General features: G+C 43.5%; 2 annotated features.

Moving 5' to 3' along the window:
• Positions 9,341-9,841: an enhancer, noted in NCBI's record as "H3K4me1 hESC enhancer chr2:98050963-98051463 (GRCh37/hg19 assembly coordinates)". NCBI's record gives its function as "activates a minimal SCP1, AML or CMV promoter by ChIP-STARR-seq in primed H9 embryonic stem cells {active_cell/tissue: H9 hESC(primed)}" and the evidence as "EXISTENCE:reporter gene assay evidence [ECO:0000049][PMID:30033119]".
• Positions 9,842-10,342: an enhancer, noted in NCBI's record as "H3K4me1 hESC enhancer chr2:98050462-98050962 (GRCh37/hg19 assembly coordinates)". NCBI's record gives its function as "activates a minimal SCP1, AML or CMV promoter by ChIP-STARR-seq in primed H9 embryonic stem cells {active_cell/tissue: H9 hESC(primed)}" and the evidence as "EXISTENCE:reporter gene assay evidence [ECO:0000049][PMID:30033119]".

The following is a 15,257-nucleotide window of genomic DNA, read 5'->3' on the forward strand; positions in this document are numbered from 1 at the left end:
CCATTTTACATGTGAGGGAACTGAGGCTCAAAGAGGTTAAACAACTTTCCCACGGTAACACCTGAGATGAAATGGCAGGCAGCTGACTCCAAAGCCCCCCAACATGGCCTTTGCTTGTCTGGGAGATGGAGCTCCAGGTGGAACTGGTAAAGGGGGTGAATCCATTGGCTGGGAGATGTCATGAGTTTGAGACTGTATTGGGAGCACCTGGCACATGGTGGCCATCAACCAATTTTTAGTCTCTCTCTCCCTTCCTTCCCCTGCATCAAATTGGAAATTCCCTTCAGACCCTCACACAGCGAGGCCTCTACAGACACGTTGAACCTGCCACCCTCGTAGGAAAGCAGAAGGAAGAAGGATGATGTTGGAGAAGATCCCTGCCATTTGATTTATTATGACAGCCTGAGGCCTCAGAGAGCTCAGAGCAAAGAGACCCTGGAATGCAGCCCCAGATCCCTGGAAGAGACTTTACAGGTGTCACGTGGGAGAGTGGAGAGTGACGGGGATGGTCTCAAAGAACAGGAGCAGAGATTATCAGAGACACCACAAACTTGAAAAGTCAGGATGAGTAGGACTTGGGGAGAAAAAAGATCTTACCTTTACAATAGCTTCAAGGACCACAAATTTAAGGGCTCTCCAGAGGCTTTAGGACAGAGAGAGTTGAGGAAGTGCCGGTCCAGGATACGACCCTTTTAAAAGTGTGCCCGTGGTGTCACTGCTGTGGGCAGCGGTGGTGATGTCAATGTTTGCTCTTCTCGGGCTCCCTCCATGACACTGAAAAGACGGAAGTGCTTTTACCTGTCCAGAAGGAGGGGCAGCTGAAAGAAGGAGGGAAGAGGGTGGTCCAGTGCAGGTGCAGCCTGTTTGGAACCTTCTGTGCCTGCACTGGACCACCCTCTTCCCTCTCTCCTTCCTTCGGCTGCCCCTCCTTCTGGACGGGTAAAAGCTTCTCCTGTCTCCTCCTGGACTTTCTCATAGCTATAGGCTTCCATATTCCCCACCTCTATGATTCAGAGGAGTTCAGCTCAGCCACGTCTGTGCCAGAGCTTTGATGCCCCACCTATCAGCCACACAAAGGGCCCTGCCATGAATAAGGCCTCCCTCACTGAGGATCCTTAATTTTTTAAAATAATGAAGCCTCTGCCATAAAGTCAGTGTCCTGGCTGCCAGCCACCAGGCAGAACCTACTAGACTTCTCCAAAATAGATACTGGGGCCTCCTTCCTCAACCATGGTCAAGGCCTAAGCTTCCTTCTCAAAGGCAGGCAGTCCTAGGCTTTAGGGCAAGAAGTGCTTCCTACATGCAAGGTGCTCTGGGGAAGGGCTGCGTGTGGCGGCCATGTGTGCAGGTCTTCAGGATTTCAGCTGAGCCACCTTTTCTTGCAGTTTAAGAAGAAAACAGCCAGCCATTCCCTCCTTGTAATAAATGCCTCCGCATATTTGAAGACAGAGTTAGGTCATTCTTGAGCTTTCTCATCTCCAAACAAAACAACTGTGGCCCCTGTAACCTTACCTTGGCAAATTATAAGGCCCATATGCAGAGAAAAAGCAAAACAAAACCATCTGATGGGGAAGGCCTCCTATCTCTGACCAAGTGTCTGTTTTGAAATGCGGTCTGCACTCGAGTCTTTAATTACATGTAAATTCAGTAGCTTCAAGCGTCTGAGCCAGTGGGGGACCAGGTGCTGCTCATCAGGCCCCTTGGATGTGTTCAGGCTGCAATGCTGGGTGACAGCGCTTGGCAGAGGCTAGGATTTCTTCTCTTCAGATTCATTTTGGGGCATAAAAAGGGGGCATCCGTGAGTGACCCAGGAGCAGTCAGCTGACCTTCCTGCCAGGTCCCCTGAGGGTAGGATGGGCCCCAAGAGCCTCCAGAGAGCTGGCAGCCTGCCAAGAAGGCTGCCCTTGGCCTCCACAGAAGCCAGCAAGAGTGGCTTCCAGATGTCCCTGGTGGAGGCTGGCAGCCTCGTCCTGCAGCCAGTGTCTTCCAGGGGAGGCTTCCTGATGCTGCTAACTCAGAGACAGCTGCCCTGCTGAGCGCCTGCCCTCACTGGGGGTGCTGTGATCACATCAAGTTTCTTCCCATGGTTCTTTCCAAGCTCCTTCCCATATTTGTAGTGTGTTATCTTGGTGATACAGACAAGAGTCAAGGAAATACTGGGTGGAAGAGGGCAGTTCCCCAGCAAACGCCCCCACCCTCAAGTCTGGAAACCCGCAGCCCTAAATGGGAACAGGCATTTGTACTTTCATGCCCAAATGTGGGATCCTCCCCCATGACCCAAACACCTCCCACCAGGGCCCACCTCCAACACTGGGGATCCCATTTCAATATGAGATTTGGAGGGAACAAATATCTAAACTGTATCAACCAAGGTTAGTGCGTTTCTCTGCCCTCCAGTTTTGCCTGCCATGAGCAGCTTTCCTATGAGCCAGCTGTCCTTTTGGTCTCCAGGGTCACTTTCTTTTTTTCAAAGCCCAGTGTTCAGATATTCAGCTGAGCTTCGGGACTGGGGAGTCACAGGACAAGCTCACGTACATGCTTAAGCAAATGCAGTAAATTTTTTAAATAAAGAAAAAGTCATTTAGGCAGTGCCATTCATTCTGTGTGCCACCCTAGATATACCACAGGGTGGATGCGGAGTGGAGGGTAGAGGAGGGTGCATCCCTTGCTCTATCTGCGCCTGTCCTTCCTACAGGCTGCTCAGACCAGGAGCACCTGGATTTGCCCCAGTGGGACTCACCTTTGAGAGACATAGTTTTGGCCAAAATAGCTGTTCAGTGCAAGTCTTCCACTGGTGCCCAACCAAAGGGAAAGCAACCTTTTCCAACAATGAAGAAGAAATTGGTTGTGTCTGCTTTTCAATAGCAAGGGAGTGAATCTCAAACACGGTGCCTCCATTAAGGTGTTCAATAATTTCTACTACATGACAAATGTGCTTTGGGAATGTGAAAGGAAACTAAATCTTGGGACCTCAAAGTCACTAAGCTAAAGGGACAAGTCAAGCTTGGAACTGCTTAGGGCAAACCTACTTCCCATTCTGTTCAAAGTCATCTCTCTGAGGCTCACCTGAGACAAATGCATATCTAATTGCTTCCTCTGCCCTATTGTTGATGTAAAAATGCAGATTCACTGAGCCAGACTAAATTGTGTATTCAGTGGAAGGTTGATCGAGTATGCAAAATAATGAAACCTTTTGTCTCTTATCTACTTCTGACCTGGAAGCCCCAACTTTGAGTTGTCCCACCCTACCAGACCAAACCAATGTACATGTGACACATATTGATTGATGGCTCGTGTCTCCCTCAAATGTGTAAAAGCAAGCTGTACCCTGACCTCCTTGGGTGCATGTCGTCAGGACCTCCTGAGGCTGTGTCACAGGAGCATCCTTAACTTTGGCAAAGTAAACTTCTTAAATTGACTGAGCCCTGTCTCAGGTATTTAGAGTTCACAGGAATGATTTCAGACACCCCAGGGAGAGGTGCCTCTACTGCGCGGCTCCTGGCCTGGTCTCAGACTAAACCGTAAGCTCCCTCATTTTTGTATCCCCAGTGCCCGAAACTGTGCCTGGCACTCGAGGGTCCATGATATGTATTTTTGGCTTTGTTGAATAGTTTAATTAACTCATTAGTGATGCAAAGTTCTAACTGCATATTTACAGATATTTATGTGTGCACCACATTATGGGTGGTGAGAAGTAGGAATTCAAAGAGACAAAATCATACTTTCTCTCCTCGAAATTCTTGTAAAGCTACCAAGAAGACAAGACATAGACACACTAAATATAAATAAAATACAAAAGGATGTACCCTGACATGCAAATATGTGTTCACAGAAACAAAGTTCTTCTTACCAAATTCCTGTTGTCTAAAGCAGTTTTTCCTAAAGCGCGTTCTTCAGAATACCAGTTTCTCAGGGTGCCAATGTGAGGAAAAGCTTTGGTGGTCAGATGAGTTCAGGGCTGGGTTAGGCTGATTTCTTTACCAGAGGGCTTCTTGAAGACTTAAAGAAATCTGTATTGAGATATAATTTGTATGGCATAAAGTTCACCCACTTTAAGTAAACAACTCGTTGGCTTTTACTATAGAGTTGTGTAGCCATCACCACAATGTCACTGCAGAATGTTTCCATCACCACCCAAAACACCTCACGCTGTTTGCAGCCATTTCCCATCCTCTTCCTTCCTAGCCCCTGACAACCACTAATTTACCTTCTTCTTCTATAGATTTGCCTATTCTGGGCATTTCATAGAGATGGAATAATTTACTGTGGGACCTTTTGTGACTGGCTTCTTTCATTTAACTTAATGTTTTCAAGGTTCATCCACGTTGTTGCATGTATGCACTGATGGACATTTGGGTTGTTTCCACTTTTTGGCTATCATAAATAACATTGTTATAAGAATTCATGTGCAAGTTTTATTTGACTATATGTTTTCAGTTCTCTTGGGTCTATAGAGAAGAGTGGAATTCCTGGGTCATACTGTGAATCTATTAAACCTCTTTTCTTTATAAATTACTCTGTGTCAGGTATTTCTTCATAGCAGCGTGGAAATGAACTAATACAGTAAATTGGTATCAAGGTAGTGGGGGATTGCTATAAGATACCTGAGAATGTGGAAGCGACTTTAGAACTGGGTAATGGGCAGAGGTTGGAACAGTTTGGAGGACTCAGAAGACAGAAAGATGTGGCAAAGTTCAGAACTTCCCAGAGACTTGTTGAGGGGCTCTGATCAAAATGCTGATAGTGATATGGACCATGAAGTCCAGGATGAGGTGGTCTTAGATGGAGATGAGAAATTTATTGGGAACTTGAATAAACATGATTCTTGCTATGCTTTAGCAAAGAGACTGGCAGCATTTTGTCCCTGCCCTAAATATCTGTGGAACTTTGAACCTGAGAGACCTAATTTAAGGTATCTGGCCAAATAAATTTCAAAGCAGCAAAACCTTCAAGTGATGACTTGGGTGCCCTTTAAAGCCTTCAGTTTTATGCACTTACAAAGTTATGGTTTGGAATTGGAACTTACGTTTAAAAGGGAAGCAGAGCGTAAAAGTTCAGAAAAATTACCCGGAAGGAGTTAAACCCCATGGCTGCTTCATGAAGCAGGAAAGGTGGATAAAAAAGACAGAGAAAAGATGCAAAATACACAATCTATAATTTAAAAAGGGAAAATTATTACAGAGCCCAGGATAGCAAACACATAAAAGTAGAATACAATGAAATAAATTATGGCAACTATTTTCACTAAACTAAAAGGAACTCTATAATGAAAACTTTTCTATAAGGAAAATTTCCATCTTATGTTTCGTTTACTGGAACCAACCTTGTGAAAATTACACAAACTTCAAGAGAATTAAAAAGAAGGAAATGCTTCCAGAATTATTATATGTGGTCACAATAAACTTCATTTCCAAAACGAATAAAAGCATTAGAAACAAAAATTAATTCCTGCATCTGACATGAACACAGATATAAAAAGCATAAAAAGCACATATATGTGTAATGTGTAGTTCATATATATATATACATATTTGAAATATCTATCTATCTATATAGGTATTTATAGATATCTAAATATATCTATATCTGTATATATGTAAATGTACATATATGTGTGTTAATGCACATATATGTATATATGAATGCATATCTGTATATAGCTACATATGTATGTAGCCCTATATTGAATTATGTATGCCTATAAAATTGAATGTCAGTATATTTCTATCTATTTAATAAACAGGTGTAGCAAGCCACATTACAGCTCTTATGCTTAAAACTCAGGTAAATTTTAATAATAGCAATTTCTGAGTGATGGTCATAAAACGAAAGGTATGACAGGCTTAGTTAACTAATTTTAGAAAAAAATTTATATTGTTTTATTTAAATGTTTTATTTTCCTTTTTTCTTTTAATTTGGAGACAAGGATTTGCTGTGTTTCCCAAGCTGAAGAGTAGTGGCAATTCACAGGTGAAAACTTTTCTTCACTTTTGGAATAAGTTTTTATTTTGCTTGGAATTTTAGCTTCAATAAATAATAAGTGTACATGAAAAAGCCGCTACTTTGATCTAATCTATGAGAATTATTTAAATTCTCATCCAATAGAAGACAAAATCAAAGTAAAAAGAAAATTGGGCTCTTGCCAGAGAGACACAGCTCTTTACTCTTAGGTCTGAGGCAATCTCCCAGACATTCTTGCTCACACAGTTGCAGTCCACTGCAAGAATAGAAGATGTGAGGACAGCATTACTCAGTTGCACCTTGAGCTCCCTGACTACATATAGTTAACTATCTTTATTGAGGATAATAATAGTTAAAATAAATCACATTGATTTTTAAATGTACAGTTTTTATGAATTTTTGCAAATAAATAATCCTTCTAACCACCTCCAAAGTCAAGATATAAAGTATTTTCACAACCCCAAAAAGCTCTTCCTGAGCAAGTTACGTGATCAACTTGCTCTCTACCCCATAGATTAGGCAACTTTTGGCCCATTTTGAAAGGTCTACTCATGGCTCTTCCACCATGACTTTGTCTCTAATCCTCTGTTCTGTTTTTTCTAAGGTCTGATGATTTGTTCAAACCCATAGACAATGTCATTGAATGGCTGATCTCCCTCTGCAAAATGAACAAGGATATAACACTTGCACTTTGCTCACTGTTATGATTTTTACTCTCCAGGCCATCCTTGACTGTGAGAATGATGTGACATCAGCCCAGCATCCATGGATAGAACTCTGTCCAGAATAGCATCATTGTAGACATACAAAGAATGAGGACTTACCTAGGAGACAAGGATATAATTTTTAACATTAGGGAAAATCATCTCCATTCATACTCTTTGGCACCTCAAGTAAGTTAGAAAAATATTTTAAGGTGACACATGAATTTGGTGAGTGTTTTAGAAATACATCAAATTTCAAGGACATTCCTATAGCCAGAGCAGGTACTATATCTGGTTCTAGAAACCAACTATTTTGATGAGGAATAAATAGAATTATCTTAAGAGATTTAATTTATTAAAACATTTTGTAAATATGCATATGTTTCTCATATATATATGTAAATGGCCTTATTTAGACATGAATATATGCATATGGAACTACACGCACCCAACTATTTATCAAATAAATATATATATATGTACCTACATTAATGTTTATATATATATATGTGGAGTTTCCATAAATAAGGTAAATTTTACACTTTTTATTTATATATAATTTTTTAAATTTCTTTTTAAATTTCTCATTGGTAGCTTTATAAATACATTACCAAATATTTATACTTCTGCCACTAATTATAATAAGATACATCCTATATGGGTGAATGTGTAAGTATTACATTGGTCACTTTTTTTGCACAATGATGATTGATAACCAACTACTTAAAAGTCAGTGTATTACATCAAGTTTTATCGTGTTTCTGGATGATCATTTTAGTATTAACATGACTCTTCAAGACAGGGCTCAGCTGGGTGGTTTTGCTGCAGGGAGCAGAGCTTGTCTCTAACCTATGGATTGTGTTCATCTGAGGTCAAGGCTAAAGGGCAGTATCTACCCAGGCACCATATTCTGATGAAGGCAGCAGGAGTGGGCAACCTCCCCAAACCAAGTTGAAATGGTGAATGAAGTCTAATAATTTTGAACACAGATACACACAATTTTAAGTTATTCTTTCACCTTGGTAATTATTATGGTTCCTACAAACTTTTCCTCCATTTAAACATCAAAGCATTTTATTATTCCATGGACAGATCATTATGTTTCTCCAACTTTACAATCTTCCAATTGTTTTCAAATGTCATGTTGCATGGATTAGAAAATAAAGCTGGGTGTGGCTGCAACATGTGGCTTTCCATTGAAATTTTTAAAAATAGCCTCATTGCCATAATAGTATACAGAAGTTTGCTCTTGTCACCCAGGCTGGAGGGCAGTGACATGATCTTGGGTCACTGTAACCTCCACCTCCTGGGTCCAAGCGATTCTCCTGCCTCAGCCTCCCTGGTAGCTGGGGCCAATGGTGCCCACCACCACGGTATCTCTTTAGCTGAAACAAATATCACATAGAACATAGCTTCTTAAACCTTTTATAGGTCACCTGTTATCAACTACCATGGCTAAACAAAGGTTCTCATTCAGTGAACTGAAGGTCGTTCTGCTATTTAGCATATGTATCATGCTCTCAGTGTGCTAATGATCCTGCTGGATTCTGGATACATGTTGAGTAGCAAAGAATTTTCATAATTTAAAAAAGGTTACACCAATGTTCAGGTTTTTCTGTTGTTTTGGTTTCTTTGTTAAGAAATATTTTTCATTTGTTTGTAAAATGATTGTTATGTATGTCATACAATTTCCTGATTTTTAAGCTGTGTCTATGACTTAATAAAGTTATGTTGCTATGTGACAAGTGCAAGTATATTCAAATGTATTCTGAGGCCATGCATAACTGGCAAAAGTTTTCACTATTTTGTGAAAATACTGACCATGTTGGGCTTTCAGCTGTCAGTTCCTCATTATCACCATCACTTCTGAAAGCGCATTCTTCAGAACCACCTTTCCCTCTATACTTTCCTGTAGAGTTGTTCACTGAGGGGTCCTTCCACGAGATTTGGAAGTCAGAAGAGAATGATTCAATGCTCATTGACACCTGCAGACAGACAAGTGGACTTAGTTGAGACCTAGAGAATCACCTAGAGACATACTGCAGGAGGCTGAGAGCATCAGCACCTGCACTCTGGGCTTCTCAGACAGATCCAAGGACCATGTGGCTAGGCAGCTCACACCTGCAGGGTAGGGTGCACCCTGGTTTCTGCAGGAGCACCAGAGAATCATGTCTCTAGTATCTGCTTCCGTGACTAACATCAACCAGGCCTTGAAAAGCTGTAGTTTAGACACTGATTTCATAAATTAAAACGATTCCTGCTTGGAAGGGCTAGAGTGGCTTCTCTTTTGCTACAAGAATTCCAATCATCCCATAACAGACTCCTCAGGTGGTTAAATCTCTTTATTAAATCAGGACTCGCATTTCATGTCTTTGCTTCTGGGGATGAGGAGGAAAGAGAGTGGGTGCAAAGGAGCCACCTCATCACAATTTACCAAAATTTCCAGACGACCTTCAAAACTTGGCTGCATCTGGAAAACAACTCAGCAGATTGAGGCACTAGGAGGGGCATCTAGGGCAACCCGGCCTCACTCATCTGCTATCCTAGCAGTTGATGTTATGACTTGTCACACTGGGGGAGGGAAAATGCTCTCTTGTTGACATTAATAAGTTGCAAAATCTTCAGGCTGCAGGCTGCTGACGGTGAGAGTGAAATCTCTTCCATATCCGCTGCCACTGAACTGAGATGGCATCGCCCTCTGCAAACTGGATGCCCTATAGGTCAGGAACTTAGGTGCTTTCCCTGGTTTCTGCTGATACCAATTTAAATAGTTGTAAATGCTTTGACTAGCCTGGCAAGAGACGGTGGCTCTGTCTCCTACAGATGCAGACAGGGAGGATGGAGGCTGAGTCATCTGGATGTCACATCTGGCATCTCAGGTTGGAAATACAAAAACAAATATTTACACTTTTCACCATGTTATGCGAGGATTTCCCTGAAGAGCCAGGCTGTACTGAGCACACTGGGTGGCTAACTTCCCAGTGTTCTCCTTCTTTACCTGGGAGACAGAGCAGCAGGAAGGCCAGGAGCTGAGCGGGGATCCTCATGTTCATGCTGTGTCCTGACTGCAACTGACTCCTGCACAGGGTGTGACCAGCCTATTAAGAAGTCTTCAGGGCAGGGGGCTGCGCTCTAGGACACACAAATCAGCAGGGGATGGGGCAGGCTGGGCACAGCCACGGGGCTGGCTCATCTCGGTAACTCAGCAAAGGGGCAGTGTCCGCAGGGTCCCAGGTCAGACCAGGCCTGACAGATTTGCCTGGAGGGAATGTATTTCTCTCTACATCCGTTGTTTCGACAAGAGATATTTTGGGAGAAAAAAGTCAAAATTTAATTCAAACCTAGGGACTACATGGAGTCATATATTTTAGAGTTGTATCGGGAGTATATAGGAGAGTATGACCATTTGTAGGGAATGTCTGATAATGTCTTAGAGAATGGGGCTATCAGGTCTTCAAGTTATTTAAGTGGACATTGTGGGAGTGACAATCCCTTTGTTATACTAACAACACCTCTGTGATTGTCACGTTGCTCCCATTGTTTCATGTGGGAAAAAAGTCTTTGTCAGAAGCATATTTAAATATTCAAAGGTATTTTGTAGTGACCTGAAACATTTGTTATTACCAGTCTATTTTCAAGCCATTCCCTGCAGATGCACAATAATGATGCTGTGATTCCTCAATGCCTGTGCCACTCACAGATCTTCCATAATCCAGAGCTATAGGTCTCTGTAATAACCAGGGACTAAATGGACAGCACCTCCGTCTTGCTGACCCATATGATCAATTGTCTCCACAGGAAGAAGAACAAGGTAACTTACCATTGCTAATGCTCTGAGCTGCCTTTCCCACCGGAATGTTCCCAGGTGTTCAGGTACAGCTCCCAAAAAACTGGGCTTTCTGGAAAGCAGGGGAGGGAGAGGCCCTGGGGAAAGGCCAAGTCAGTGAACACTTTCTCTTCAGTGAGGGCAGCAGCTACTCAGTGCATGTCTCTGCCCTGCACCATCGATGCCACTTTCCTCTTTGACTCTTTAGCAGTATGTGGGGACATCATCCTTACCCAGACGCCAGCCTCCTTGCCTCACTTCCAGGAGAGAGAATCTGCATCTCCTGCCAAGCCACCGCCCATGTACGTGAAGAAATACTTGGGATCTGGATAAAACTTGGAAACAGATTTGAACCCCTATACCTCACATGTCTGCCTCTGCCCAGGCATCCCAGCCTGGTTGTGCAGCAAGGGAAGTGGAATCAACTACATCGACATGAGAAGACTAGAACCTGGGGAGTCCAGGGAGCATTACTCACGCATCACTAAGAGTGAGCAGACCACAGTGGTATAGCCTGTACCCAGATCTCCTGCTGCTTTCCAGGGGCCTGAATTTCAAGGGAAATTACTGGCAAACTGCTTGCTAAGATTTAGGTTCAGAGAGAAGAAGCTCTGGATTGAAATACACACATTTTTTTTGTGCGGGGAGGTGAATGTAGCAGTCACTCTTGCTACCCTTTGCCTTTCCCCTTTGCTGTACTTCTGCTGACTCCCCATGGCCATATCTGTTCCTCACTGCTCTATGTCAAACTGGAGAAGGCAGCCCTGCCTGCACACATGGCCTTTCACAGCACCTGGAATGAGCATCCTCTCAGAAAGCCCTCAATCAGTGAGGACAGGAGAGGTGTATATACCCCAGCTCCCTCTCTTCTCAGCTGGAATAATACTGAGACATTTTCCCCTGTTTCCACGTGGGCTTGAGCTCCAGCCATCCTCAGCGGTAGCTCTTTGCTGAGGAGACTTTTGGAGTCCCTCCTTTCTTTCCTCCTTCACTGCCTTGTTTCCTCCCCGTGTTTCCTGTGCATTATAAACATGCTGCCTGCATAGGCATCATTATCCCTGAAAGAGCCAACCTAAGAAAGCAGAAAAACATTCTTTCTTGGACGGTATGGTCTGAATTCTTGTCAAATCTTTTTTTTAACGCATAGGGATATTTAGAAAATTTAGGAAACACCTGAATTATCTTGGAATGGTCACCCTCCGTTCTTCAAAATGGCTCTATCTTGTCATTTTTTAGTGTCAGTTTTAACAAGACACACAGGCATTTCACTGTGAAGAGGGCTAGCAGCAGAATACTTCTTATGTGTAAAAGCTCTTGGATAAATCCTTTAAACTCTCATACTCTCTGGGTATGTGATTAGCTCTTGTGTTCTCTGGAGATGACAAAAGTAGGGGGCTATTTGTTCATTTGTTTTCACATTAGGAGAAGAAATCAGATTGATAGGACACATTTTGAGAGGGAAGAGCCGGCTCAGGGAGATGAGGATGGTAGAAAAGAAGCAAAGTGTTCAGGGCAATGCGAGATGTGCTCCTGCCCTCAAATCTGAAAGAAAGACATTTAAATTTTAAAGACTTGGAGGAAGTTTTGCTATGTGGACAAAACTGCAGAAAGGCCTGAGTTTATAATTGTGGTAATCATGGCAAGGTTCAGAGGTAGCAAGGCGCTTGCTGAGAATTCCACACCACCCTTCCGGCTTTGTCTCTTCTCTGAGTTTAAAAGCCATTCATTCCTCCATGGAACAAATGTGGCCATGTGGAAGCGACATATTTAAGCTGGGTTCCAAGCTCAGCCCTGATAATTGCTGGCCATGTATCTTTGGGCAAACCACCCCTGTGCTCTGATGAACAGTTTACTCACCTGTGAAAAGTAGCACCAAGGATATCAAGGGCTGTCCTGAAGGTTTCTCTAGTTGATGCACCAGGAAATGTATCTATGCATATATATGTATGAAAAGACTACTTAGGGCCCCTTTTCTGCATCCTTGAATATCTTAGAATGAAGATTCTAGATAAGATATTACTACCCAGATGTCATGCTCTACTAAGAATTATCAACATTTATTATATAATTAACAGATGCTCCAGTATACACCGTGGGGTTTCCTGTACGCTATTTCCTCATAAAATCTTCTAATATGTGTAACATTAGAGAATCGAACGTGGAGATTCCCAATCATTATACTACCTTTAGGCTGGATTTATTCTAAGCCCCATTTGTATTAGTATTTTTGGGCTGCTATAACAAATTACCAAAACTTTGGTAGCTTAAAGAAATAGAAATATATTCTCTTATAGTTCTGGAGGCCAGAAGTCCAGCATCAGTTTCAGCAGCCAGGAGCAGGCTGTCATCAGACAAAGCTGCTCCAGGGTCTCCAGGGGCAAGTCTATTTTTTTTTACTTCTCTTAGCTTTTGTTGGTTTAAGCTTTCATTGGCTTGAGTCCAAATCATTTCAATCTCTGTTGCTGTCTTCAGATGGCCTTCTCTTCTGCAGGATTTTTAAAAATGACATTTAACAAAGACAGGCCCCTTTAGGGCCCACCTGGTCAATACAGGATAATCTGCCTGTTTTATAATCCTTAATTTCATGTGCAAAGGCTCTTTTCCTGTGAAAGGTACCTGTATAGTTTCCATGGAATACAGCCTGATCATTTGAGCACCATACTCAGCACTAAACCATTATAGAATGACTCTTCAGTGTTGGTACTATACACACATCACACGCTCTTCTCTCTCTCTCTCCTCCTCTCGTTCCCTCTTTCTTCCTTCTGATTATAAATCTCCTCACTTCCCTAAGCGTATCCAGTGCCACCTATGTCTAGGTTAGAGCAGCACACATAGGAGGGCCTGCATAGGTATCATTGTCCCTGAAATGTTGTGGTTTGGCTTAGAGACCTGCTCTATCCCTCATTATCACTCAGAAAGAAGGACACAGCCAAAGATAGTCCTCAGCCATCTGGGGAGAAGCTGTCTTCACAGAGGACAGTCAGGGGCTATCATTCTCTGGACCTCTGCTTATCTTCAGATGCCTGTGGTCCTCAGCCCTCAGTGAGGGTCTGTGTGGCCCCTGATTCGAGTAGGATCCAACAGGATCCTTATCAGAATATCTGATTCACAGAAGGCAGCGAGTGTAAGGTAGGAGATCATCAGGACTTGTGTTCTGAGCACCGATCCCAACATTGGTCATGACAACGCTGACTGGAACAGGATCTCGACAAAAGAGGATGCGCTACAGAAACTGGCCCAAACCAGCTAGAACCAAGATGGTGACAAAAACGACCTCTAGAGCACAGTGTGAGTGGATCTTCCCCCGGGGGCTCCCGTCAGACAGAGTGGCAGCCATGGCTCAGTGCTGCATGATCATAGTATGAAACCCCCCCCCCACGGTCTTTTCACAGCCCCCCTCTGACTGCAGTGATGTGGGATTTCTCTGTCCAACTTTCATGGCTCAAGCAACTTCTGGGACTCTGTTCACAATGGGAGGTCATGAAGGTAGTTAGGCTGTTGATGGCCAGAGTGACGTCTGTCCAGACTCACCCCCTTGACCCAGGCGGGCATCGTGTCCAGGGGGCAGTGGGAGCCAGCAGGAGATCAGCGTCAGCCCTTATTTCCTGTGGAGCTAGGCTAGGACACTGTTATTTCCGTGACTGGCTCTGCTGGTGACAGTGACCCTGTCTCCTGGAACACAGGGAGGGGCCTGGAGATGAGCACCGCACAATATCCCAACTGTCACATAAGTGGGGAACAATTATGAACATCCCCAAGTGTTAATTCTAAATAACTACTTCATTCAGTTTGACTGAATTCTGATGAACAAGCAAAATGGGCGACAGACTTCATCTTGAAGGATGTTTAATGCAAAGAAACTGCATTAAATTCATGTTTAATACACAGAACTGAAACTGAAGGTGAAGCCCGAGTTCTCCCTCTTCACCAGAGAATTGGAAAAGCAGGAGGAAGAGGAGCAACACCAGGTCCCCACGTCCACGAGGGTCTCCTGAGGCTGATCCTGCTCAGAGAGAGTGGGAAAAGTGGATGAGTCAGCTTGCATTGCCACACCAAAAAAACTGGATTGGATGGCAGAAACCACAGAATTTAATTTTCATATTTCTGGTGCCTGGAATAGCCCAGATCGATGTCCAGCAGGGTTTGCTTTCTGGTAAAGACCTTCTTCCTGGTTTGCAGATGCCACCTTCTCACGGTGTCTTCACACAGCCTTTCCATAGAGCGGAAGGCAATTAGAGAGAGAAGGGAGAAAGGAGAGCTCTCTGAATCTTATAAAAACACGAATTTGCCAGGCGCAGTGGCTCACGCCTGTAATCGCAGCACTTTGGGAGGCCGAGGCGGGCAGATCATGAGGTCAGGAGATCGAGACCATCCTGGCTAACGCGGTGAAACCCCGCCTCCACTAAAAATACAAAAAATTAGCCGGGAGTGGTGGCGGGCACCTGTAATCCCAGCTACTCGGGAGGCTGAGGCAGGAGAATGGTGTGAACCCGGGAGACGGAGCTTGCAGTGAGCTGAGATGGCGCCACTGCACTCCAGCCTGGGCGACAGAGCGAGACTCTGCCTCAAAAACAAACAAGCAAACAAACAAAACAAAGCAAAAACAACAAAACACGAATTCTACTGGATCAGGGACCCCCCTTATGACCTCAATTACATCTTTAGAGGTCCTAATTTCTACAGTCATATTGAAATTAGGGTTTCAACATGAATCTGAGGGCACAATTCAGTCCATAGCAGGTGGGACACAGCCGGGGCCTTGC

This window comes from Homo sapiens, chromosome 2, assembly GCF_000001405.40.
Source record: "Homo sapiens chromosome 2, GRCh38.p14 Primary Assembly".
In the NCBI taxonomy this organism is placed as follows: domain Eukaryota; kingdom Metazoa; phylum Chordata; class Mammalia; order Primates; family Hominidae; genus Homo; species Homo sapiens.